We start from the raw sequence: 27,323 nt of genomic DNA on the forward strand, positions 1-27,323 counted from the left end.
TCAGCACTTTGGGAGGCCACGGCAGGAGGACTGCTTGAGCCCAGGAGTGTGAGACTAGCCTGGGCAACATAGTGAGACCCTGTCTCTACAAAAAATAAATCACAGTGGCACATGCCTATAGTCCCAGCTATTTGGGAGACGGAGGTGGGAGAATCTCTTGAGGCGTACAGATTGAGGAAGCAGTGAGTCATGATTGCTCCACTGCACTCCAGCCTAGGTGACAGAGCGAGGCCTTGTCTCAAAAAAAGAAAAAGAAATATAAAAATAAAGTGAGAGGAATCAGTGTACCTAATTTCAAGACTTACAGGTGCAATAATTAGGACTGTGGTATTGACAGAGTGACAGACACAGAGATAAATGGAACAGAATAGAAAACTCAGAAATAGACAGACCCAATATGCCCCACTGATTTTTAACAAAGGTGCAAAAAGCAACTCAATGGAGGAAATTACAGCCATTTCCACAAATGCAAGTGGACACCCATAGGCAGCAACAACAAACAAACCTCAACCACAGTCTCATGCCCTACATAAAACTAACTCAAAATGGATCAAGGACTTAAATAAAATTTTTATGAAAAAGTCTTCAGAGTGTAACAGTAGATAAAAAGCTCTTAGCCTTGATACCAAAAGCATGACCTATAAAAGATATTAATAAATTGAATTTTGTAAAAATTAAAAAGTTTTACCCTGTGAAAGACCATGTTTAAGAGGATGAAAAGACAAACTAGAAGTGGAAAAAAATATTTGCAAACCACACATTCAACAAAATACTAGTATCTAGAACATATAAAGAATTATCAAAATTCAACAGTAAAACTACAAACAATTTAATTAGAAAATGGGCAAAAGACATGAAAGCCTTTTTACTGAAGAGGGAAATAAGCATATTAAAAGATGTTCAACATCATTAGCCACTAGGGAAATGCAAATTAAAACCACAGTGAGATATCTCTACACATATATCATAACTGGTAAAATAAAAGTAGTGACAACATCAAAACACTAGTGAAGATGTGGAGAAATTGGATCAGTCACACAGTGCTAATGAAAATGTAAAATGGTAGAACCAGTGTAGAAAACAGGTTAGGAGTTGCTTAAACTATAAACATGTAACTACCATATGACTCAGCAACTGTATTCCCTAAGGCATTTTTCCCAGAGTAAGTGAATGTTTGTAGCAGCTTTATTCATAATAGCCAAAATCTGGAAAAAACTCTGAAAATAAACTGTATTATATCTACACCATGAAATAATCTATATCATGAGCAATAAAAAGGAACAAATGATTGACACATGCAACAACCTGGATGAATCACCAGGTAATTATGCTATGTAAAAAATGCCAACCCCAAAAGGTTATATATGTCATGATTCCATTTATACAACACTCTTGAAATGACAAAATTATATAAATGAAGAACAAATTAGTAGTTGCCAGGGCTTAAGGAGTTGGTGAGAACACAACGGAAATGGGTGTGGCTCTAAAAAAGGAAACAGAAAGAATCCTTGTGATAATGAAATTATTATTTTAATTGTATCAATCAATGTCAAAATCCTAGTGGTGACACTATTAGTTTTGTAAGATGGTACCACTGGGGGAAACTAAGAAAAGGGTACATGAAATCTGTCTGTATATATTTTTTTCATTTTATATTATCTCAAAATAAAAATGTTTAGTTTTTTAAAAAGTTACCTCCCCTTTTTTACACAAAACCATGAACCTATGAAAAGGTTAACAAAGGGTTAAAAGCAAAGAAGTAGTTCCCTGTTCTCAGTTTAATATGATTCTTAACCCTCTTGCAATTAGAAAATATTTCACATATAAGATTAAATAGAAAATATACTGTGATTCTAAGGAATATAATCACCTTACCAATGTTCCCTGGAAATTTCCTGGCTTCTTATACCATAGTTTGTTGCCTCCCTCTTCACAGACACATAGATGATCCATGAGTCCATTACTATATACAAAACATTTTCCTAACAAAGAAGATTCCAACAACCAACAATTACCTCACATAACTGTTATTATTTTTACAGATGAACAAATTGACATCACAATGAGGAAACTAGAAAATTACGAAAAGAGAAACAATCTTGAAAAAGATAAATAAACATCTCTACTTTTTAGGATGAAACAGACAAAATTAATTTGATTTGCTTAATGCTACTGCAATGCATTCTAAACTCAGAGTTGTTAAAAGTAACTGTATATTAGGCCGGTGTAATCCCAGCACTTTGGGAGGCCGAGGCAGGCGGATCATGAGGTCAGGAGATCGAGACCATCCTGGCTAACACAGTGAAACCCTGTTTCTACTAAAAATACAAAAAATTAGCTGGGCGTGGTGGCGGGCGCCTGTAGTCCCAGCTACTCGGGAGGCTGAGGCAGGAGAATGGCGTGAACCCGGGAGGCAGAGCTTGCAGTGAGCCAAGATCGCGCCACTGCACTCCAGCCTGGGCAACAGAGCAAGACTGTCTCAAAAAAAAAAAAAAAAAAAAAAGTAACTGTAAATTAGTGGATTTATGTTTTCAGAACTGCAATAAGAAAATGGCTGGGCATGGTGGCTCATGCCTGTAATCCCAGCACTTTGGGAGGCCAAGGCCAGGGGACCACTTGAGGCCAGTTTGATTTCAGCCTGGGCTACACAGTGAGCCTCCATCTCTACAAAAAAATTTTAAAAATCAGCTGGGTGTGATGGCACGTGCCTGTAGTCCCAGCTACTCAGGAGGCTGAAGTGGGAAGATCACCTGAGCCCAGGAGGTCAAGGCTGCAGTGAGCTATGATCACACTACTACACTCCAGCCTGGGTGACAGAGTAAGACCCAGTCTCAAAAAAAAAAAAAAAAAAGGACACAAAAATAACTTCTTTTAAGTTATCTGAGGGAATGAAGAAGGAAGATAAAAGACGAAAACCCATTTAGAGAAGGGAACATGGACGCATATCTTCTCTATTTGACCAGAAGAAAAATCTGTGGTATGCAAGGGAAATTCAGACAAAACTAGAATTTTTTTTTAAATGTCATTCTCAATGTACATAATGCTATGCTTTGTCTCTTTTTCTGTATCTGTACTGTACTGCTCAGTCTAGCCATTTGTCACATTCCACCTAATGTAGTACAACTTTCTCTAATACCAACTTCTTCCCACTTACTGGACTAACTGTTGCCAAAATTGTCTTCTCTGCCCAACAGTATGTAAAAATACAAAGCTGTGAATTTTGTAATACTTAGGTCTGAGTGTTTCCTTCTGCTTTTATGGCTTTCTTTAATGTATAGGAAATTACCTTTTCAGCATCTTCCTACAATCAATCTATCCTTTCATTCATCTAAAATACCAGGGCTGTTCATTCCATCTCACCACTCTGAATTCAACACAGTGGCTTTATATCTGAGCCAATTTTCTCACAGTCCAAACACGTGTTTTCTGCCACTTAAAATATGGTTGCAATGCCATTATCTTTATAAACCTATAAAATCTAAGGAATTGCGAATTTTGCCTATCTTATAAAAATACATCATTATTTGTCTCAAATTCTACATAAACTACTATCCAGAAATTAACCAAGCTGTCTGATAAAATAATAAATTTCCAATCACTATATTCAAGCAATAGTTGTATGATGGTCATGAATGCTCTAACATGGGCACAACTTTTGGACACAGGAGTAAGCTGGATTCTAAGGTCCCTCACAAATATAATTCTGTTCTTACCTCTGAGGCACAAATACAAATACATAACCATCCTTTGCTTTAATTAGTAGGTCCATATAAATATTATGTATTTATTTGCTTTTTGCCTACACCTCATCACGTACAACTAAATGGTGAAAAAAAAAGTTTTTCATGAGGATAAAGAGGCATCAATTTTAATAAATTAGCAAATGAATGTTAGGCAAAAAAAAAAACCACAGGAACATTTAAAAATCAAACATAACATTTTTAGGGCAATTAGTACACATACCTTTGGGGAGTGGGTTGTTTTGGGCTTGGAGTCTAATTTTAACAACATCCAGGGGTGTCACTATGAAGATATGTTAAGTTTCAATTAGCGAGTGGTATCTGTAAATTGGATAGATGTTTTACACAGAACACAAAATACATTGATTCATACTTTTCCTCATGGCTATATAATTGGTAAGCTTATTTATCTTAAAGTAGTCTTGAATGTAACATTCTAATTTTTTTGCCCTTAAATTTTGTTAATCAGTGAAAGACAGACGAATTACTTCTCTCATGAGTACTAAACTGTTATTTGTAATATTCCTACAACTATCATTACATTAGCATTAAAGTCAGTATTTATAAGAAAATATGATTTCTAATATAAGAAGTAAAAGTTCCAAAAGACTTTGAGAATAACTTTCTATAAGTAATCAATAGCCAAATGATATTAGTCTTCCCAATCTGTTAAATTTACCTGTATCAAATAAGAGGTACAGATAATAAAAATTTGAGTAAACTAGTCATAAAACATCTTTAGCACTAAGTTATGTTATTCCATTTGGGCATAGCACAGCAAAGGAAAATAGTTTTAATATGCATGCTATATTTTATCCAAGTAGAAACAAATGCCAAATAATGTTTCTAAGAAAACTTTTCCTCATCTTGAGAATGATGATAATTATATTAGATGATCTCTATGACCTTTATAACTCAAATTCTGACCTGAAAATACATCATAAGCAATTAATTTATTTGTTCTAATCATTTGTTATTTACATAAACTAGCCAACTTAAAAATCATTAAAATGCTAAACTATCACCTAACTGTGTCATTTGGCTACATCTACAAGAAGCTGACTGTAAGAAACAGAAAACTGTGAACCAGAGAAATTTAAGAAATTCCGTTAATGCAAAGTAAAGATTATTTGTAATTGTTACGAACATAAATTGTGAAAATTCTGTATTATTCATTATGCTAATATTTTATTCCATCTTCTTGCTTTCTATTATAGACATGGGGAATCAGAAAAGTTTAATGTTGATAGGGACCCAAAAGAAATCCCAGTTATAAGCCCCTAATTTACAGATGAAATAATGAAGTTCAAATAAAAGTTAGATACTGTTCCCAAGTGTATTCACCGTGAGAATGGCAAAGCAAGGACTCAAGTCTCTTGAATCTCTGTCCAGGGTTGTTTTCATATAATAATATGATGAAACATTCATGGATCATAAATGATAGTATGTGTTGCAGGAAGTCAGGGATCCTGAATGGAGGGACCAGGTGGAGCCGCAGCAAAGGAACATAAATTCTGAAGATTTCATGGACATTTACCAGTTCCCAAATAATACTTTCATAATTTCTTACCCCTGTCTTACTTTAATCTCTTAATCCTGTTATTTTTATAAGCTAAGGATGTACATCACATCAGGGCCACTATGATAATTGTGATAACTGTACAAATTGATTGTAAAACATGTATGTTTGAACAATATGAAATAAGTGCACCTTGAAAAAGAACAGAATAACAGCGATTTTAGGGAACAAGGGAAGACAACCATAAGGTCTGACTGCCCGCAGGGTCGGGCAAAATAGAGCCATATTTTTCTTCTTGCAGATAGCCTATAAACGGACATGCAAGTAGGGAAGATATTGCTAAATTATTTTCCTAGCAAGGAATATTAATAATTCATACCCTGGGGAAGGAATGCATTCCTGGTGGGAGGTCTATACATGGCCACTCTGGGAGTGTCTGTCTTATGCCGTTGAGATAAAGACTGAAATACGCCCTGGTCTCCTGCAGTACCCTCAGGCTTACTAGGATTGGGCAACTCCACCCTGGTAAATTTGAGGTCAGACTGGATCTCTGCTCTCAAACCCTCTTTTCTGTTGTTTAAGATGTTTATCAAGACAAAACGTGCACTGCTGAACATAGACCCTTATCAGTAATTCTGCTTTTGCCCTTTGCCTTGTGATCTTTGCTGGACCCTTATCAGGAGTCTGTGATTTTGCCCTTGTCCTGTTTCCTCAGAAGCATGTGATTTTTGTTCTCCTTTTTACCCTTTGAAGCATGTGATCTTGTGACCTTACTCCCTGTTCTTACACCCCCTCCCCTTTTGAAATCCTTAATAAAACTTGCTAGTTTTGCAGCTCAGGTGGGCAATCACGGTCCTACCAATATGTGATGTCACCCCCGGAGGCCCAGCTGTAAAATTCCTCTCTTTGTACTCTTTATTTCTCAGCCAGCCAATACTTATGGAAAATAGAAAGAAACTACGTTGAAATACTGATACTAAAACTCAAATGGAAGCACTGACTCATTCAAAGTTACATAATCTACATCAGTAACATAATTTTACCTATTACTGATGTCAGTATAGCTCCAGTACATGAGGCAAGCATTTGTTGAAGAGGTGTCACTTTGATAATCTCTTGTCCCCTTGTCTCAGGATCCATATTTTTAACTAATTAAATAAAAACCTGTTAAAAAGAAAACATAAAATTAGAGCACATCCTCTGATCTTTCAAAAATGATAACATCCTTCAGCTAAGCTGGGTGAGCAGCATCACATTAGTAAGACAACTAAGAGAGAATTAACCAAACAGATACTGACAGAATGAAAGCAGGTGACCACTAAGTCTGAGTCTGTGAACTCAGCCTCATACACACTACTAAAAAAACCTCCCCAATAGAGTACAGAGGTATCAGCAAATACAGCCCTTTATTGTATACCAGTAGTTGTTGTACAGATGTAAAATAAAAACACATAACCTTAATAAGTTTTATCTTACAAAAATTTGATGAGAAAAGCAACATAAAAACATAAAAAGTTTTAAAAAGTCAGATAATACAGAACAGTATAAAAATAACTTATGAACTTACTATTCAAAAATAATCACCGGCCAGGCGTGGTGGCTCACACCTGTAACCCCAGCACTTTTGGAGGCCGAGGCGGGCGCATCATGAGGTCGGGAGATCGAGACCAACCTGGCTAACATGGTGAAATCCTGTCTCAACTAAAAATACAAAAAATTAGCCAGGTGTCTGTAGTCCCAGCTACTCGGGAGGCTGAGGCAGGAGAATGGCGTGAACCCAGGAGGCGGAGCTTGCAGTGAGCCGAGATCGCACCACTGCACTCCAGCCTGGGCAACAGAGCAAGACTCTGTCTCAAAAAAAAATAATAATAATAATCACCAGCAACAGGAATGTCATCTTTCCAAATGTCTATGAACATACACACATACATATGTATATGTCTATACACACACATTACATCTAACCAAATATTGTATATTAATCAAACACACGTACACTTATGTGTCCGTGTACATACAGCTTTTCTGAAAAACAGGTCAATACTATTTTGCTTGTTTAGTAGGCTGCTTTAACACTTAAAAACACATTATAGACATTGTGTCAATAAAAACAGATTTACATTTTTATTGCTTGCACGGTAGTTAATTATATTTATTTAATCAGTTTCAGATTGTTAGATATCAGGTTGTTGCCAATTTCCAAACTATAAAATATTCTGCTATAACATTCTTATACATACATATATATATTTTTGTAACCTTCCTACAATTACTGTAGGAAAGATAGTAAGATTGATGGGATAAGCTATTTTAAAACTTGATACAGGGCCAGGTGTGGTGGCTCACACCTGTAATCCTAGCACTTTGGGAGGCCAAGGCAGGTGGATTACCTGAGGTCAGGAGTTTGAGACCAGCCTGGCCAACATGGTGAAATCCAGTCTCTACTAAAAATACAAAAAATTAGCAGGGCATGGTGGCGCAAACCTGTAGTCCCAGTTCCGTGGGGGACTGAGGCATGAGAATCCCTTTAACCCAGGAGGCAGAAGTTGCAATGAGCCAAGATCGCATTACTGCACTCCAGCCTAGGTGACAGAGAAGACTACATGTCAAAATCAAAACAACAACAACAAAAAAAACGTCATACAAATTGCCATGATGCTTTCCAGAAAGCTTGGATCAATCTATACTTCTACTGGCAATATGAGAGTTCCTACTTATCCATGACTTATCAAATTCTCTGTCAAATTACATATAATTTTTTTTCTGAACCATTCAAAAGTAGGCTGCATACATCATGTCCCTTCACCATAAATACATCAGAATATTATCTTATATAATCACAATACAATTATCAAATTCAGGAAACTTAATTTTGAACCGTACTCTACAGTTCATATTCCAATTCTGTCAATAATATCAATAATGTCCTTTATCAAAATAAATAGTAATTTTATTGATTCTTTAGACTTTTATTATCTACCTACCTGGTTTGAGTCTGTTCTTCAACTCTATGCTCCAATATTTTATTGTTTGTAACATCAGTAGCCAAAAACCTGTAATTAAGAAGAAAGTAATTGTCTTATCTTTTCACACAGGAAAAGGATAATAAATCTAAAAGAAAAGAGTACATAAAAACTTTAATACAAAAATCAACAAATACTCATTAAATGCTTTCTACTAATTGCTTTGAAGAATATAAAGAGCACTCCATAAATGCAAGCATTAGTTATAGAAGCATTTTCACAAAAACCTCATGTTATTCTAGTTAATATACTCTGCTTTAAAAACAAATAAGCAAACGACTCTAGAGCCCAAACACAGTGATTAATCTTAGCATCATTTACAGTAGAACAACCAGATTTTGTAACACAAAATTAAAGGGCCAGCATCATCTATGACGGTTGTTTTTTTTGGGAAGGGAGTGTAAGAGGGCGAACCTTTAATCTGAATCGAAACAATCTTTAATCTGAATCTGAAACAACAAGCTTTAGGTCTAACTTCCAAGTCACAGGAAATTCAGCAACTAGTGTAACAAGGTAATGGATGCCACATAACAGTAGAAGTTGTACTCTTTTAGCCTACAAGACTATTGTCTTGATTTATTTGAATCAAAGGTGGGAAAAAAACGTGGCAAGGGAGAGTAAACTGTTCTAGATTAAAAGGAATCTTAAGAGTCAACCACCAAAAGAACCCTGGTTCAAACAAACAAATTTTTCCAGTTTGAGGGTAACTAGTGATATGTGACCATGGTCTGGTATTAGATAATATTAATTGGATATTAGATAATATTTCAGAAATCTTGTTCATTTTGTATACAGAAAGTATTTTTTTGAGAGATTCATTCTAAATTATTAAGGACCATAATGTTCTAATAACTGTAGTTTACAATACTTTGAAAACATAAATATACTAAAATGTTATGATTTGGTAAACCTATGTAAACATATACCATATTTCATTGTTCTGTATTTTTCTGTATATGTGAAAATATGTACAATAAAAATATTTTAGTTCCTGAAACTTATGTAGAATCTTCAAGTCTAGGGAACATATTTGTAACATTCATTTAAATGAGCTCCTTTAAGTGGAAAAATAATATATGTATGCTAGAATATAGGTATACTTCTCCTCCAGAATGGTAAAACGGCCCACAGCACTTTATTGTTGACATTGATGCCAGCAAGGTTGACAACTTGAATATGCGCACATGAAATTAAATCCAGAAAACTTTATTATATTTCTAGCCATCAGAATGTAAGGAAACAAGTCAGAAATTTAGATATAACTTTTTAGAATAGTTAATGAAATTGTTTCATAACATATATACTATTTTAGAAAAATAAGTTACATCAATTATCTCCTAAAATCATGTTATCTAATTATAATGAGAAATGAAAAATGAGTCTCCTTTTCAATTTATTACAAAAATAATGAAAAAAAAGGCAAAACGCTACTCCCAGAGACTTGGGAGTACAGGTAGAAAATCTGAGAAGTGATTATCAGTGAACTGCCTAGAACTCATAATGTATTCAACACTGCTTTAAACTCCCTACAGTTTTACCAACCTACTTATCTTTTTTCTGTCCCACTTTCTATTCTCCTATGTGCAGACACTGTCCCTTTTTAGGGAGGACACATTCTACTGGGAGAACTCACTCTAACAAAATATCTCTTGGCTTTCCTGTAATAGTAGAACATCTCATGAAGAAATGTTCTGCAAGAACAGCTTTCCTCCCTCAACTCCCTGCAAAATTCCTCTTTTCTATACCTTTTCTGCTTCTGTATGCTACTGAAGTAACCATTAATAATTTACTCTAACTAACCAAGGTGGTCTTCAAATGTAAATGGGAAGCATTCTCCAACATGAAAAACCCATGAGCCCTTCTTGAGAAACAAAAGTTACTTAATAACAAAATTCACTTAACCAGGAGATTAATGAAGAATCTTTAGTAAAAGGATTAAAGTAACTTACATTTAAGCCAGAAGACAGAACACTATCTCCTCAGTATCATCAGAATTTTCAATTTTTTCAAAACAAATATGTGTTAAATGCAATCTTATTATAATCTTGATTTACCTTCTGTATTAGTCTGTTTTCACACTACTGATAAAGACATACCCAAGACTGGGCAATTAACAAATAAAAGTGTTTTAATGAACTCACAGTTCCACATGCCTGGGGAGGCCTCACAATCATGGCAGAAGGTAAAAGGCAAGTCTCACATGGCAGCAGAGAAGAGAACTTGTGCAGGGAAACTCCCCTTAATAGAACTATCAGATTTCGTGAGAGGTATTCACTATCACAAGAATAGGATGGGAAAGACTCACCCTCATGATTCAATTACCTCCCACCAGGTCTCTCCCACAATATGTGGGGACTGTGGAAGCTACAATTCAAGATGAGATCTTGGTGGGGATACAGCCAAACTGTATCACCTTCCCCTGGCCAATAAAGATGCTTAACATCTCTGCATATTTTTATCAGTAGTATATATTGCCTCTTCTGTAGTATGTCCATTTACATCTTTTACCTACTTTGATGTTAAGGCATGTATACTTTCCTTACTGGTTTGAGAAATCCTTTATTCCATTTTTTAAAAAAATACTTAGGAATGCATGATATGGTTCGGTTGTCTCCCCACCCAAATCACATCTTAAATTGTAGTTCCCATAATCCCCATGTGTCATGAGAGGGACCCAGTGAGAGGTAATTTAATCATGGAGGTGGTTACCCACATGATGTTCTTGTGATAGTGCGTTCTCACAAGATCTGATGGTTTTATAAGGGGCTTTCCCCCCTTTTGCTTGGCACTTCTCCTTGCTGCCACCATGTGAAGGACATGTGTGCTTCCTCTTCCACTGTGATTGCCAGTTTCCTGAGGCCTCCCCAGCCACAATGAACTGTGAGTCAATTGAACAATTTTCCTTTATAAATAACCCAGTCTCAGGTATGTCTTTATTAGCAGTGTGAGAACGGACTAAGACATTTATTTATTTTTATTGATACATACTAGATGTACATGTTTTGGGGGTACATGTGATAATCTGATACATTAATATAGTGTGTCAAGATCAAATCAGGGTAATTGGGATATACATCATTTTAACCATTTATCTTTTATTTATGTTAGGAACATTCGAATTATCTTCCAGTTATTTTGAAATGTACAACAGATTATTAAGTATGCTTACTCAACGATCAAACACTAGGTCTTATTTCTTCTAACTGAAAGTTGTACTCATTCATCAACCTCTCTTCCCAGTTTCCTTCCCCAAAACCTTCCTGGCCTCTGGTAATTACCAATCTACTATCTTCATGAGATCCACTTTTTTAGCTCCACATATGACTGAGAACATGTGATGTTTGTCTTTCTCTGTCCGGCTTATTTCAATTAACATAAGGATTTCTAGGACTTCTAGGTTCATCCATGTTGTCACAAGCGACAGAATTTCATTCTCATTTTACAAATGTTCTGTAAATGTCAGTTAGGGCTGTGTAGTTTAACTCCAGTGTTTCCTTGTTGGTTTGTTATTATGTCTGAATGATCTGTCCATTACTGAGAGTGTGTTACTGAAGCTCCCCACTAATACTGAATTGCTGTCTCTCTCCCTTTAGGACTATTTTAAAAATTTAATTGATATGTATTAGGTGCACTATATTCAGGGTGGATGTGATAATTTAATACATTCATATAATTTATAAAGTCAAATCAGTGTACTTGGGATATCCAGCACCTTAAATATTTATGTTAGAAAGATGTGAATTATTGTCTACTAGCTATTTTGAAATACACAACGGATTAGTGTAAACTATATCCACCATGCTGATCTATCAAAAAAACGTGGTCTTATTTATTTTACCAAACTGTTCCCTTTAGATCTATTAATGTTTGCTTTATATATCAGGGTGTTCCCGCATTGGTTAAATATTTATAATTGTTATATCATCTTGCTAAATTGACCCCTTTATCATTTTATAGTGACTTTGTCTCTTTTTACAGTCTTTGACTAGTAGCCTATTTTACATATGCATAGCTAGTCCAGATCCTTTTTGGTTTCCACTCGCATAAATGAAATACCTTTCCCCATCCCTTCATTTTCAAATTGTGTCTTTATAGATTAAGTAGGTTTCTTGTGGACAGCATATGGTTGGGTCTTGGTTTTCTTAATCCATTTAGCCATTCTGTGTCTTTAAGCTGAGAACTGAATCTATTTCTATTCTGTGTTAGTACTAATAATAACTTACCACTGCCCTTTTGTTGTTTCTTTAATGGCTGTTTTCTAACTTGTCTCCTCTTCTTTTCTTCCATTCTTACTGTTTTCCTTTGTGGCTAAGTGATTTTCTTTGTTAGCATGTTTTGATTTGTTGATTTTTTTCTTTTCTTTTCTTTTCTTTTTTTTTTTTTTGAGACAAGGTCCTGCTCTGGTGCCCAAACTGGAGTGCAATGGCAGGATCACAGCTAATTGCAACCTCAAACTGCCAGGCTCCGGCAATCCTATTGCCTTAGCCTCTTGCAGACCTAGGACTACAGGCACGAGCCACCACTACTGGTCTAACGCATTGCTTGTTATTTTTAGTGTATCTACAATAAGTTTTTCCATTGTGGTTGGCATGAATTTTAAAAATCATCTTGTAAATACAACAAATTATTTTTAAAAGATGAAAACTTATTTTAGATAACAAAGAACAGAAACCAAGAGAAAACTAAAAAAAAAGCTCTACACTTTAATACATCCTCCACACATTTTGACTTTGTCTTAATTTACCTATTTTTATATTCCTTATCTCTCAACAGGCCGCAGTAGCTATCACAGTTTTTAACAGATTTTTCTCTTATGCTTCATACTAGAGTTATGAGTGAATTGCACACCACAATTACAGCATTAGAATATTCTTGGGAGGCCAGGTACAGTGGCTGAGGCCTATAATCCCAGCACTTTGGGAGACCAAGGCAGGCGGATCACTTAAGGCCACAAGTTTGAGACCTGCCTGGCCAAGAGGGCGAAACCCCAACTCCGTTAATAAAAATAAAAATTAGCCAGGTGCAGTGGTGCATGCCTGTAGTTCCAGCTACTCAGGAGGCTGAGGCAGGAGAATTGCTTGAACCCAGGAGGCAGAGGTTGCAGTGACCCAAGATCACACCACTGCACTCTAGTTTGGGTGACACAGTGAGACTCCGTCTCGGGGGGAAAAAAAAAGAATATTCTTGGGGACTGTGCACAGTGGTCCATGCCTATAATCCCAGCAGTTTGGAATGCCAAGGCAGGTGGATCGCTTGAGCCCAGGAGTTGAAGACCAGCATGGGCAACATGGTGAAACCCCATCTCTACAAAAAAATACAGAAATTAGCCAGGTGTGGTGGCACACACCTGTAATTCCAGCTACTTGGGAAGCAGAGGTGGGAGGATCGCTTGAGCCCACAAAGCAGAGGTTTCAGTGAGCTGAGATCATGCCACTGTACTCCAGCCGAGGCAATAGAACAAAACCCTCTCTAGGAAAAAAAAAAAAATGAATGAATATTAATGGTCTGTGTACTTACTTTAACTGGCCAGTTTTGCACCTTCAAATGTTTTCTTTTCACACGTTTTTTTCCTCCAGGTTGAAGAATTCCCTTTAGCGTTTCTTGTAAAATGGGTATGGTGTGGTGAATCCTCCTAGCTTTTGTCTAGGAAAGACTTTATCTGGCCTTCACATTTCAAGGGTATATTTGCTGGATACAGTATTCTTGGATGGCAGATTTTTTTTTTCATTCAGCCCTTTAAAAATGTCATCTAACTCCTTCCTGGCCTGTATGGCTTCTGTTGAGAAGTCTGTTGCCAGATGAATTGGAGTTTGTTTACATGTTACTTGATTCTTTTCTTCTGCTGCTTTTAGAATCCTTTCTTTATCCTTGCCCTTTTAGAGTTTGATTATTATATGCTGTGGGAAAGACAGTTTCTGGGGTGCCAGTTGAGTTGGTTTCCCCTGCATGAGACATTCATGGGAAGCCATGGGCGTCCTCTGAGGAGAAACGTCTCCTTATTGCCTTCATGTCTTTATGCCCTGAGAGCATAACCGCTCAGCGGCATTCCACAGGTTGCTCAGGGAGATAACACTCCTTGAAGCAGTGGAGTATAATCAAACATCTTGGCTCCTCCTGAAACCCACTCCCACCTGTTTCAGTCCCGATAAGTTAAAGATCTTAAGTAGTTTAGACACACACCTTTACTCAAGGAAATTCACAGAAACCACCACTGCTACTCACGAGTTCCTTCACTGATTAATCCTTTTCCTCATCCCTTCCTATCCCTCCCATCTTCCCTAAGAACAAAGAGCTTGTAAACCAATAAATTGGGTGGAGCCCAAGAGTTCTGGGCCGTGAGCAAGCCTCCGATGCTCTGGTCCCCTGGATGCGCCTTTTAAGCGCTTATTCTGTCTTTTTCTAACTCCTTTGTCTCCGCCAGACTTGGGGTACCCACTGGGTGGTGTGCGGCTGGTTTTCCCAACATATGCCTTAGGGAAATCTTATTTGGATCAAATCTGTTTGTTGTTCTCAGACCTTCCTATAACTGGATAGTTATATCTTTCTCAAGTTTGGGAAAGTTTTCTGTTATTATTTCTTTGAATAAGTTTTCTACCTCAACTCCCTCTTGAACACCAATAATTCTTAAGATTTGGTCTTTTGAAGTAATTTTCTGTATCTTGTAGGTAATCTTCATTCCTTTTCATTCTTTTTATTCTCCTCTGTGTGTTTTCAAATAGCCTGTCCTTTAGCTCACTGATTGTTTTCTCTGCTTGATCCATTCTGCTGTTCACAGTATCTAATCAAATTTTTAGTTGACAAATGTATTGCTGAGTTCCAGATTTCATTTTTAAAAACAATTTCAATCTGTTTAATTTCTTTGATAAATTTCTGGAATTTTTTTTTGTTTTATCTTGGAGATCACTAAGTTTACTTAAAACTGCTATTTTAAATCCTTGGTTGGAGAGCTCATGTACTGTGTCTCTTTAGGATCAGTCATTGGAGTTTTGCTATGTCTTTTTGGGGAGGTCACTGTTCCCTATTTGTTATTTCCTATAGATTTATGTCCATATCTTTGCAATGAATAATTCATTTATTCCAGTCTTTTTGGTCTGGATTGTTTTGGTGTTTACTGGGCATGTTTGCTTAGACACTCTTTGTAATTTATCTGTTGAATATTGTTTCCCACTAGGTCACTGCCTCCTTTTTGGTACTAGGTGGCACTTTAAGCACAGGATTGTCTCAGCTTTAGTAAGCAATCTAAATGCTGCCTGTCCTGAACAGGGGAAATCACAGAGAATGTATCACAGCAGTGTGAGAAGGATGGTTAGGCATTTCTGCCTAGGGGACCTGTGGAACATACCTCTTACATTGTGGTGTTGCTGAACAGCCACTATGATTTGGCATCTCCTTTGGTTCAGTTATAGAGCAGAGTTTGCAAGGTCAGGGATGGTGGTACCACCTCCCCACCTTTTACTCTGCCTGCCCTGAGCAATATTTCTACCTTCAGGCACTGCCAATGCTTCCAATGAGTCGAGGGAGGAGGAATTCTCCTGAAAGGGAACCCGAGATGATAGGGAAGCTGGCTGTCCACCTCAATCTCACAACTTCCAGTATAGAAACCATGAATTAAAGGGAACTATTCTGTGCACTTGGTGCCAGAAGACTCGGAGGAAAAGTATCTGTGATACTCTCAAACCGTGTTTTTCCTCTGCTCTCACACCAGAAGAATCAACAAAGAATTATCTGACCAAATGTTTGGGGGTGAGGAGTTCCCCCTACCTATATGCAGTGGACCCTGCCACCTTGATATCCTTCAATTTAATTCTGACACTACCTACCTGGAAATAAGAATCTGATCCCACAGGTTGAGGGCTGTCTCCAAGACTGCCTCCCCACCTTCAGTCAGAAGTCCATGCCTCCAGAACTTCTTACTAATCAGATTCGAGTTGGGGTTCCCACAACTCCCTCTTTGGGTTTGAACAATTTGCTAGAGTGGTTCACAGAACTCAGCAAAACAGCTTTTCTGGTTCCTTATAAATGATATCGCAAAGGGAACGGGTGAAGAAATGTACAGGGCAAGGTATAGGGGAAGGAGGTGGTGCTTCCATTCCCTTCCTGGGCATGCCACCCTGCAGGAACCTCAACATATTCAGCTATCCAGAAGCTCTCTGAACCCTGTCCTCTCAGGTTTTTATGAAGGCTTCATGATGTAGGCCTACTTAATTAAACCACTGGTCATTAGTGATCAACTTGACCTTCAGCTCCTCTCCTCTCCCCAAAGGTTTCAGGGTACAGCTGTAAGTCCCAAACTTCTAATCATGCCTTCATTTTTCTGGTGACCAATCCTACCCTAAAGCTATCAGTCAGTATTAGCATACAAAAATATAGGACTTTGGAGATTCTAAGGATTTTAGGAGCTGTACATCAGGAAATGGAAATGAAAGCCAAATATATATTTCACAATATCAGACCATCTGCTTAGAGTTTTTTTCATTTATCTGTGGCTCTGAAAGCTGCCTCATCCTATTTGAGTTCTGGGATATTGCTGGTGGTAATCTTGGCACTGTATATTTGTTTTCAGTTTTCTGTTAAAGAGAATGAAGCCAACTTGCTTCTACACCACCATTTTGGAATTGAAAACTCGCCCCTCTGGCTGGGTGTGGTGGCTCATGCCTGTATTCCTAGCACTTTGGGGGGCCGAGTGAGGCAAACTGCTTGACCTCAGGAGTTTCAGACCAACCTGGGCAATGTGGTGAAACTCCATCTCTAGAAAAAAATACAAAAAATGAGCTAGGTGTAGTGGTGTGCACCTCTAGTCCCAGCTACATGGGGGTGCTGAGATGGGAGGATCACTTGAGCCTAGGAGGTCAAGGCTGCAGTGAGCCTATATCATGCTATTGCATGCCAGCCTGGGTGTCAAAGTGACAAAGTGAGACCCTGTTCCAAAAAAAAAAAAAATCCAAAAAAAACCTCTCCCCTTTATTCTATTTCAGTTCGTACCCCCTTTTTTTCTGGTTTCCTTTACTCACTAATTATTCTGAAATTCATTCATTTTATTACATGCATTGATACTTGGTTCCTTTCCACTTCTGAATACTATTCCATTACATAAATATACTACAATTTATCCATTTATCTGTTGATGAAAATCTGGGTTGTTTCAAGTTAGGGCCTATTACAAATAAAGCAACTATGATTATCTGTTTAAATCTTGAGTAAATACATAAGTAGAATAGCTGGATCAAATGGTAAATGTATGTTTAACGTTTAAAGAAATTCAGAAAATGTTTTCCGAAGCCGTTGAACCATTTTACACACCCACCAGCACTATATGCAAGTTCCAGTTGCTTCACATCCTTAACAACACTTGGTATGGTCAGTTTTAACATTTTATTCCTTTGAATATATGAATCGTGAAATCTCATTGTGGTATTACTTTGCATTTTTCTAAGGAATTGTTATGTTATGCATAACAATTATATCTTCTTTGGAGAAATATATCTTCTTTGGAGAAATAGCTATTTAGATCCTTTGGTCATTTTTAAATTGGGTCATCTTCTTATTGAGTTATAATAATTCTTCATATTTTTTGGATACTAGATCCTTACCAGATATATTAGATGCAAAATAGCTTATTTTGTGGGCTGTCTTTTCACTTTCTTCATAGTGTTCTTCAACATACAAAAGTTTTAAGTCTAGACAAAGCTCAATTTGCCTATTTTTTCTGTTGTTGGCCTTCTGAAGCAAAGGACAAAAATGATAAAACGTCACTTTCAAGATTAACTTATAAAAGACTGTGATGTCCACTAAAGCAGACTCTGCTTTCTTCACTAGCTTTATCTGATGATGATAGGGACAAGAGGCAGATAAATTCTGGGCATAAGAGGGCAGATCCCCAGTGAGGACCCCACCCTCAAGCCTGGAATTGCAGCCCAAAGTGAGAACTTAGATCCCTGTTTTCCCACTTGAATGTTGCCTTTTCCAAAACTACCTATGACCTGCCCCACCCTCATCCTGTGCCCATAAAAACCACAGGCTCAGCCAGCACAGGGAAGAGAAGAAGCAGCCGAATGTCTGAGAGAAGCAGCTTACTTCAGAGTGATGGCTTGATGGTGTAACTTTGGAGATGGGTCTGGCTGGGGACGGCCGGACCTTAGGGTAAGATTAGCTTCCTGCTCCAACCCCTTTTCAGCTCCCCTTCTTGCTGAGAGCCACTTTCATCAGCAATAAAACTCCCTGCATTTACCATATTGAAGTTGTTCGTGTGACCTCATTCCTCCTGGATGCCCGACAAGAACTCAGGTGCCACACATGAACGTGTAAAAGGCCATCACACTGACCCTCATAAGCTGCTAACACTTAAGCTGTCCGTGGATGGCAAAACTGAAAGGGCACTGTATCATTTCCTCTGGGGCTTCAGGGGTCACAGGCATCCCTCTCCTAGATGCTGCCACAGGGCCGGTACAGTTTGCTCTTGCTGGCGCCCAAAAGCACTCGCCCTAGCTTCTGCATCCACTCACCTGCACTCCCCATCATGTGAGGGGTGGAACAGCGAGTGAGTAGAGTTTGCCCCTGCCGGTGCTCATGCACTCCAGTTCCCATGCATGAAGGCGTCAGGGAAATACCGTGATTCAATGATACAGGCTGCCATGCTGTGAACTGCCCTATGTGGAGGCCCATTCGGGCAACAAAAACAGCCTCCAGATAATAGCATTGAACTGAGGCCCTTCAGACCAACAAGCCAAAGGAAAGTGAATCTTGCCAACAACCCCTAGTGAGCTTTAAATTAGATCCCTCCCTGGTTGAGCCTTGAGATAAATGCAACCTCAGCCAACACCTTCACTGCACTGTCCTGAGAGATCCTGAGCTTGCTTAACTAAGCTGCATCCAGATTCCTGACACACAAAAACTGTGAGATAATAAAGATTAGTTATTTTAAGATAACTACATTTTGGAATAATTTGTTATACAGCAACAGGTAGTATCTATTGAGATGATACATACGGTTTTTCCTTTTTGGTCTGGTTACATGGTGATTTACACTGCTTGATTCCTGGAATAAACCTCCATTTACTCATGATGTTTTATCCTTTGTATATAGAATTGGTTTTCATTTGTTAAATTTTTGCTAAGAATTTAACCATCTATGTTTATTAGGGATGCTGATCCATAATTTTTTGTATCATCTTTGCCTTTCTTAAAATGCACATGTGAGAGAATTCACCAGTGAAGCTATCCAGACCTGGAGTTTTCTTTAGTAGATATAAGAATATTTAGGTTATTTCTTCTCCTGTAAGCTTTGACAGTTAGTGTACTTCAAGTAATTTGTCCATTTCATTTAAGTTGTTGAATTTATCAGCATAAGGTTGTTCATAATATTACTTTGTTGTCATTTTAACATCCATTGGTTCTGTAGTTGTGTACCTTTCACTAATTTATTAAAGATCTTAATAAATGAAGAAATATTACCATTTCATAGACTGGAAGAATAAATGCTATAAAGATATAAATTCTTCCAAATTTATCTATAGATTCACAGGAATCATAACCTCTTACTTAATCTTCTTACATAATCTTCTTACTTTTGTGGGTTTGACAAACTCTTTTCCAAAACTTACATGGAAGTAGAAAATGGCAAGAACTACCTAAAGTTTTGAGATGCAGCTAAAGCAGCATTTACAATGAAATTTATAGCATTACATGCTTGTATTAGAGAAGGCCTAAAATTAACTATCTAAGCTAAAAACAAAAGAGCAAATTAGAACCAAAAGAAGAAGAAATGAAAATAAAAACCAATAAAATTGAAAGCTGAAAAACAATAGGAAAAAACAATAAAAGCTGGTCCCTTGAGGCAAAAGAATAAAAAATAAATAAACGTCCAGTCAGATGATAGAGGAAGAAGAAAACCTTTGACAACATCCCACACCCACCATGACTGAAAGGCTTGAGCAAGCCTTTCAATCCTTTTCAATGAAAGGGAAATTCCTCGGTTTGATAAGAACCATTTACTACTCTCATCATTTCTATTCAACAAAGTACTGAAGAATTTAGCCAGTACAATAAAGCAAGATAAACAAATTAAATGCAGGCTGGGCACAGTGGCTCACGCTTGTAATCCTAGCACTTTGGGAGGTCGAGGCTGGCGGATCATCTGAGGTCAGGAGTTCAAGACCAGCCTGGCCAACACAGTGAAACCCTGTCTCTACTAAAAATACAAAAATTAGCTGGGCATGGTGGCAGGCGCCTGTAATTTAAAGTGAACACACTTAGGATGTCTTCAAGGGCCTGATAATGCTGAATTTACCCTGGTTTCCCAGCCCACAGTCACCTGAGACATTAACTACAGTTCCACAGCCACTAACCAATCCTATCCTTTCATGCACTTAGCCTGCAAAACTAAGAATTTAACCTTACATATAACCTTAAGCCCTCCAATTCACCAGGATAGTGAGACTATGAAATGTGAAAATTAATAAAAATAGATCAGAACACATTTCAGAAGACGACATATCAATAGTTGGCAAATGAATCAAACAGGAATGATTATACCCAAATGAGCAGGAGATAAAGGATGAATCTAAGCTAGGTTTGCTATGGACAGGAAAAAATAATTGCTGAGCCAGGTGAAGAGGCTTAGGCAAAAGAAAGAAAAAAAAAGTGATAAGTACTACAAAATTAATTTGTCTAGATTCTAGAACAAAAAATTTATATTTGGGTATGTGTGAGGTAATCTGAAAGATCAGATTAGGTCTCTGATAATCACAAAAAGTTGTGGAGTAGACTGAACAATATTATCTTCATTTATAGATAAGTAAATTCTAGCATAGAAAGGTTAACTTTTTTTTTTTTTTTTTTTTTGAGAGGGAGTCTCGCTCTGTTGCCCACGCTGGAGTGCAGTGGCGCAATTTCCGCTCACTGCAACCTCCGCCTTCTGGGTTCAAGTGATTCTCCTGCCTCAGCCTCCTGAGTAGCTGGGGTTACAGGCGGGGACCACCATGCCCAGCTAATTTTTGTATTGTTAGTACAGCCAGAGTTTCACCATGTTGGCCAGGCTGGTCTCCAACTTCTGACCTCGTGATCCGCCACCTCGGCCTCCCAAAGTGCTGGGATTATAGGCTTGAGCCACCGTGCCCAGCCAGAAAGGTTAACATTTGCCCATGGTCACAAAACTAGTTAGGGACAGGGCCAGCAATGAATAAAATTCATTTCTCTTGATTCACAGCCACATATTCATTTAATTAGATCATGATTCTGCTCAATGTTCTCCAATTTTGCCTAATATAACTCTTGAACAAAGTTTCTCACCATAAATAACCCTGCCCCCATTCACTTCTTCTTAAATGTCTACCCTTCCTCTGAAGAAATGTTTTCAAGCATATTTTCAAGATCTACTTTAAGACAAACCCTACCCTCTTACCAACAGACCTGATTACTGGACAATAAAAAGGAGGTTTCTATCCTTACTGACTACAGCCATATCCTTTCTGTGGCTACTAACAGATTTAGGTTCCAGTAATATTTTAAAAACTAACCTTGGATAATAGATTAGAAAATTACTAACTATTGCATAAAGCGGACTTCCTGCTTATTTATTGCTTGGAATTACCATCTTCAGTGCAGTCGAGGGTGAGTCTAACCGCATAGGGTGCAACTATGTTACTGTCCTTCCTCTTCACGGCAAATAAGACACACAATTCATCTTTCACAAGACCATAAAATGGGACTTCCTTTTTTAAAAAAAAGTTCCTCAATAGAAGCATGCTTAAAAATCTTTCCCACATCCTCTAAACCTTCCAAAGATCCAGTCTTCCCTTCATTATACTTTCCTACAATAACAAATTTTTTTGAAAGAGTACACTCAACCTGTCTGAACTTCAAGATTATAATTTTTATCTAGTACTGTACTTATCTCTGCCACCTACTCAAATTACCCTTAAGGAAACCAAGGATACCTGAAACGCCAAAATCAAATACTTATTTTTCAAGTCTTAACCTTATCTGTCCTGGGGATGAAGGAACTGGTGCAGTGTTCACTAGAATGATAGTAATTATGGAGCTCTTAAGGAGCTCTACTCTGTGCCAGGCACTGTACTAAGCATTCAAAAATGTTCATTTAATCTTCACAACATCCCTGAGAAGTACTACCCCCTTTTAATAGATTAAAATTGGGGCTCAAAATTACCCAGAGGCCAAGTAGTTAGTGAAGCCCATATGATTCCAATGTTTGCAGTCTCTTCCCAATTCTGTGGCATTTTCTCCATCTCTTTCACTATTTCATCAACGACGCTTATAATCAATTCTCTTATTTCACATGCTCTCCTTGGCAATTTCATTTCCTCCCAAAGCTTTAACTACATTCTATATTAGTGCTTCCCAACTTTTTAAATCTTTCTGTAAATATAAACATTTTGTGCTCTCTGTAGCTTATATTTTGAAAATAAGTTTTTTCCCATAGAAATTACAATATTGAATATGTTTGTTCAAACTACACTTCCTTCCACCACTCAAGATCTGTTAACCTCTAATGAATTGCCCCATGATTGACATCAATAGACCTTGATGCAGAAATATTTTATTGGAGAGATATCAAATCAATCTCTATTTCCTCTTCCCATGTCCACTTCTGCTAGACATTTCTCTCGAGTCATAAACATCTTTAACTGTCTAATAAGCATAGTTCCATGACTGTCGCCCCAGGCCCTTCAACATAAACCTGTCTAAAACCAAACTCTCATTTCCCTTAGCAAACCTGTTCTCTGCGTTCTCCAGCTAATCTTGTCACAACCCACCCTTGTCTATTCTTTAAGGTACCTACCTGCAAAACCGTAACGCTGATACTCTGACTTCCTTGAGCTACCAGGTAAAAAAATCAACCACTACAGGAGTGCCTATTATGGCCTGGAGTAGAGGAATGCAAAATAGTTCAAAATATCCTCTTCCTCCTGAAGAAACAGATTTTTTTTTTTTTTTGGAGAGGCATGTTCCAACTTATAAAATTAAAATATATTCACAAGCATTTTAATTTGATCTTTAATCTCTGTTTTACAGGAAAAAAAAATGAGATGTTACTTTCCACTCCTTCATTGTTGAAATAAACTTACACTCAACTAAAAGAAAACAGGTCTGAATACAATAAAAGTCAACAGGACAGCGCAAATAGCCAACTACCCAAGGACACAAAGTGACCTGGAGGCGTTCTGCGGTGGCGCTGCCGTCAAGGCCGGGGCCGCCTGGCCAGACCCTCCCTCAGACGCCCCCCGGGGCCGCCCTCACTCCCGCACGTCCCTCTGCAGCTGTCCTCAGCCGGTGGGGTCGGCAGTGACCGCGGGAAAACCCCGCTTGCTGTGCGACCCAGGGCGCGCTGAGCAGGGGCTGCGGCTGCCGCCGCTGTCCGGCTCCGGTTCCGGCCCCGGCCCCGGGCCCGGCCAGAGCTGAGTCCGGACTCAGCCAAAGCCCCTCGCCTTCAGCTTCCCAGACGTCCGACCAGTGGAAAATTAGCATACCTGGGGCAGAAGGCAGCTGCAGGGCCGGCAGTCCTGGCAAACCTAGAAGGCGGGAATAACCCTGGTGACGGGCGGGGCCGGGCTCCGGCGCTAACTGCATCCACTAGGTTTGGTCAACACAGAGCCGCGCCAACTCTCTGAGGCTGCGCCAAGACCTGAAGCGGCGGACCGAGAGCCCGGGTCTGAGACTGAGAGAGCAACGGAATGGAGGCGGGGTAGAGGCGGAAACACAACCTGCAGGGCCAGAGCGAGGCGCGAGAAGGACGGCGGCGTGAGGGGGCGGGGCGCGCAGCGCGAGAAGGCAGGCACGAGGGGCGAGCGCGAGGCGGGGCACGGCGCGTGGCGTGAGACGGGGCGGGGCGCGCGTATCGGCGCCGCGGCCGCGTGACGCGTTTTCAAATCTTCAACCGCCGCAGCCCACTCGTTTGTGCTTTGCGCCTTCCTCCTCCGCGCCTTGGAGCCGGATCCGGCCCCGGAAACCCGACCTGCAGACGCGGTACCTCTACTGCGTAGAGGCCGTAGCTGGCGGAAGGAGAGAGGCGGCCGTCCTGTCAACAGGCCGGGGGAAGCCGTGCTTTCGCGGCTGCCCGGTGCGACACTTTCTCCGGACCCAGCATGTAGGTGCCGGGCGACTGCCATGAACTCCGGAGCCATGAGGATCCACAGTAAAGGACATTTCCAGGGTAAGAAGCCCCTCCTCCGCCTGCAGTCCCTTTAATCCTTTCCTCCCCTCGTGGTTCCACCATTGATTCTTCAGACTTCTCCCGCCGGGTCCTCAGCTTCTTTTCTTCTGACCGGCCTCTGGGGTCTGAAGGAAGGAGCCCCCGTTCAGTGTTTTGCCTAAGAAGGAACGGATCCTGACCCGGCCCCTCGAGCGCTCTGCCGTTTACAGCGGCGGTCCCAGATTGATTCCCGGTCGTGCCTTCGGTTGAAAACTAGCAAACAATGTGCAGATCCGGGACCTCGCCGGGACTGCGGCGCTGTCTGCTCCCGGGCTCTCGCATATGCTAAGCCTCCGCCCGGGCCCTTGGAGGCGACGGACTGCATCCTCAATTTAAAGTCAGACGCGCTCGTGGCTTTTCGCTTCAGGATTAGATTGAGTGATTGTGGGTGGATTTTTGGTCTTACCCTTGAAAGTTTATTTTCCTTTCCTCATAAGTTGGGGGAAAGCATTGTATTTCAAACACCCCATTGCTGGTTTCAACATTACAAACAGGGAAACAAAAGCAAATTTCCATTTTCAGTCACTTTATTTGGTGAAACATTCCAGCACCTAAGTTTTTTGTACAGGTGTTTGTGTGTGTGTAGTAACTACCAATTTAAGAACAGATTGCGTTTGAAAAATTAATTTTTAAAGCAGTTGCTTGGATCTCAGATCTGTTTCTAATGAAAATAATGAAAGGTTTAGTTCTTCGTAATGGACCGTTAAGTTCTTAATACGTAGACAAATTGTATGTGAAATGGACCGTTTAGTTGTTAATATGCAGACAAACTTTATATGAAACTAAAACTTGAGCAGTCTGAAACCCTTGAGGACTAGGTTATTCTGCGTAACAGAGGATTCTTTCATCGCTAAATGAAGTTTAAACACCAGTTTTGAATGTTCAGCAGAATGGCAGATGCTCAATAAATAGTTGAGTATTAAATATCCCCATGGAGTTTACATCCTAAAAAAAGAAAATCTTTCAAAAGAGTTTTATATAGTTCCGTGCCTCAGGAATAAACACACGAATATTTCTTGCTGAGTCAACTATTATTTTACAATATGCGGTCTGTGAAAGTATATAGGGCATTTTGCCTCTATCCTAAGTAGTACTACAAAGAAATACATTTCAATGCTAATAACTTAAACTGGTAGGGTTGTAAGGATTTTTATTCTGTAATATTGTATAATGAAATATTTTAAAAATAGTAAAAGTGTCTGTGTAAAACATCTGATTCTAAACATCTTTAATAGGTGGAATCCAAGTCAAAAATGAAAAAAACAGACCATCTCTGAAATCTCTGAAAACTGATAACAGGCCAGAAAAATCCAAATGTAAGCCACTTTGGGGAAAAGTATTTTACCTTGACTTACCTTCTGTCACCATATCTGAAAAACTTCAAAAGGACATTAAGGATCTGGGAGGGGTAAGTGAAAACCGTACACTGGCATAGAAGGAAAAATTTGTAACTAGTACTTTCTACTGTGTAATCATTTAAATTTTTCATTTTGGAAAACGCTTCTATTAGCACCAAGCTTAACATTTTTATCAGCTGTTTATCGTTAACAAAAAACCATTTGTTTTAACCTTTTGTGGACTGACAGACCTTTCAGGTTTCTCTGATTAGCAGTCTAGTGTAAAGTTCTTAGAGTGTAAGACTCCCCTGTCCTAGTGGAACTGCTCATTGACTGCTTACTGTAATGTTGGAATGTCCTCCAGATAACAGCAATTTCTTGATTATGAATCTTGGGGAGCTACATAAGTTTGTCTGGACTAGTGTAACAGTTAAGAATGTTACTACAGAACAGCCATGCAAACCACAGTTAAAATTGTTCCTGAGTGATACAGATGTTGTTTCAACAGAATGAATGTTATTAAAGGAAAAGAAATTTGCATTAAGAATCTGGAATACCTTCTTTCCTACCTTATACACTGATTAGATGATTGGGAAATTAGAAAACTCAGGCAAAATTCTAGGACCTTAATAGGATTAAGGTTGATATTGGCTGAATTTTGGCAAATGAGGTAATTAAGATTTTTTTCTGTTTAAAAGGTTCATGCTGGACTTTGACTTTCTGAAGGTCTGCGTCTTTGAATGTCTAAACTGATCCTTTCATTCCCAGACTAGTAACTTTTCAATTTATTTTTATTTTTATTTTGAGACGGAGTCTCATTCTATATGGCCTAGGTTGGAGTGCAGTGGTGCGATCTCAGCTCACTGCAACCTCCTCCTCTCAGGTTCAAGTGATTCTTGTGCCTCAGCCTCTGTCTCCTGAGTAGCTACGATTACAGGCATGTGCCACCACTCCTGGGTAATTTTTGTATTTTTAGTAGAGTCAGGGTTTCACCGTGTTGCCCAGGCTGGTCTCAAACTTCTAACCTCAGGTGATTTGCCCACCTCAGCCTTCTAAAGCGCTGGGATTGCAAGCATGAGCCCTCCAGGCCCAGCCGATTCCCAGACTAGAAACTTATCAGAAGAACATGTGCTAACAGGTTTCCTGGAACTGTTAATATATTTTATTTACTTATCTCTGAAAAGTTATTCTACTTTTTTACTATTCATTTTGTTAAACTAAAACACTGTCACATGCTTGTAATAGTTGTATTTATGGTAATGATCATATGACAGCATTCTTAAAGGTCATGTTTTCTAGGCCTGCCACCCTATTGACTATACACCTATTAAGAGTATCTTAATGTGTTAAGGACCTTAGACATTGAGTAAAAAATACCCCTTCATCTTAGAAACAAAGTACTTGAGGTCCAGAGAAAGTAAATGGCCCAATTAGAGCAGTATTAGCTTCTTAATTCCCACAGCAACATAGTACCTGCACCATTCTGTTCCTCTAGCA

At 38.8% G+C, this 27,323-nt stretch overlaps 2 protein-coding genes across 5 annotated transcripts in view, besides 10 other annotated features; one reads left to right on the forward strand and one right to left on the reverse strand.

The window, feature by feature from the left end:
* The window catches only part of SLC25A40 (solute carrier family 25 member 40), a 42,793-nt gene extending 18,761 nt beyond the window's left edge, over nucleotides 1–24,032 (reverse strand). Inside the window, exons 1-5 of the mRNA NM_018843.4 lie at nucleotides 23,768–24,032; nucleotides 8,244–8,312; nucleotides 6,303–6,423; nucleotides 3,964–4,023; nucleotides 1,876–1,982 (exon numbers count right to left, since the gene is read on the reverse strand). Of these exons, the coding sequence (NP_061331.2) occupies nucleotides 1,876–1,982; nucleotides 3,964–4,023; nucleotides 6,303–6,399 (264 nt within the window). The 5' untranslated portion in view covers nucleotides 6,400–6,423; nucleotides 8,244–8,312; nucleotides 23,768–24,032. The remainder of the gene's footprint in view (nucleotides 1–1,875; nucleotides 1,983–3,963; nucleotides 4,024–6,302; nucleotides 6,424–8,243; nucleotides 8,313–23,767) is intronic.
* Nucleotides 23,425–23,874: a silencer, noted in NCBI's record as "silent region_18352". NCBI's record gives its function as "represses an Ori minimal core promoter by ATAC-STARR-seq in GM12878 lymphoblastoid cells {active_cell/tissue: GM12878}" and the evidence as "EXISTENCE:reporter gene assay evidence [ECO:0000049][PMID:35858748]".
* Nucleotides 23,425–24,264: a biological region, named in NCBI's record as "H3K27ac hESC enhancer GRCh37_chr7:87505271-87505780".
* Nucleotides 23,628–24,137: an enhancer, noted in NCBI's record as "H3K27ac hESC enhancer chr7:87505271-87505780 (GRCh37/hg19 assembly coordinates)". NCBI's record gives its function as "activates a minimal SCP1, AML or CMV promoter by ChIP-STARR-seq in primed H9 embryonic stem cells {active_cell/tissue: H9 hESC(primed)}" and the evidence as "EXISTENCE:reporter gene assay evidence [ECO:0000049][PMID:30033119]".
* Nucleotides 23,722–24,170: an origin of replication, noted in NCBI's record as "Initiation Zone I (-235 to -683 region); multiple putative sites of rightward leading strand synthesis identified by primer extension of one-way PCR of nascent strands". NCBI's record gives the evidence for it as "EXISTENCE:primer extension assay evidence [ECO:0001819][PMID:18536724]".
* Nucleotides 23,722–24,864: a biological region, named in NCBI's record as "origin of replication in promoter of DBF4".
* Nucleotides 23,730–24,305: an origin of replication, noted in NCBI's record as "region spanning Prom7B and Prom8 amplicons; peak of nascent strand synthesis detected by quantitative PCR of size-fractionated DNA". NCBI's record gives the evidence for it as "EXISTENCE:fractionation evidence [ECO:0000100][PMID:18536724]".
* Nucleotides 23,805–24,804: a DNaseI hypersensitive site, noted in NCBI's record as "the nucleotide coordinates are approximate for this feature". NCBI's record gives the evidence for it as "EXISTENCE:in vivo cleavage assay evidence [ECO:0001075][PMID:18536724]".
* Nucleotides 24,005–24,264: a silencer, noted in NCBI's record as "silent region_18353". NCBI's record gives its function as "represses an Ori minimal core promoter by ATAC-STARR-seq in GM12878 lymphoblastoid cells {active_cell/tissue: GM12878}" and the evidence as "EXISTENCE:reporter gene assay evidence [ECO:0000049][PMID:35858748]".
* The window catches only part of DBF4 (DBF4-CDC7 kinase regulatory subunit), a 33,061-nt gene continuing 29,902 nt past the window's right edge, over nucleotides 24,165–27,323 (forward strand). For 3 of the 4 annotated variants that reach the window (NM_006716.4, NM_001318062.2, NM_001318060.2), the window contains exons 1-2: nucleotides 24,165–24,450; nucleotides 25,725–25,897. In NM_006716.4, the coding sequence (NP_006707.1) occupies nucleotides 24,405–24,450; nucleotides 25,725–25,897 (219 nt within the window). In that variant the 5' untranslated portion in view covers nucleotides 24,165–24,404. The remainder of the gene's footprint in view (nucleotides 24,451–25,724; nucleotides 25,898–27,323) is intronic. The other variant, NM_001318061.2, reaches the window with a different exon arrangement.
* Nucleotides 24,325–24,444: an enhancer, noted in NCBI's record as "active region_26234". NCBI's record gives its function as "activates an Ori minimal core promoter by ATAC-STARR-seq in GM12878 lymphoblastoid cells {active_cell/tissue: GM12878}" and the evidence as "EXISTENCE:reporter gene assay evidence [ECO:0000049][PMID:35858748]".
* Nucleotides 24,534–24,864: an origin of replication, noted in NCBI's record as "Initiation Zone II (+130 to +460 region); multiple putative sites of leftward leading strand synthesis identified by primer extension of one-way PCR of nascent strands". NCBI's record gives the evidence for it as "EXISTENCE:primer extension assay evidence [ECO:0001819][PMID:18536724]".

This window comes from Homo sapiens, chromosome 7 (genome assembly GCF_000001405.40).
Source record: "Homo sapiens chromosome 7, GRCh38.p14 Primary Assembly".
NCBI classification, from domain to species: Eukaryota; Metazoa; Chordata; class Mammalia; order Primates; family Hominidae; genus Homo; species Homo sapiens.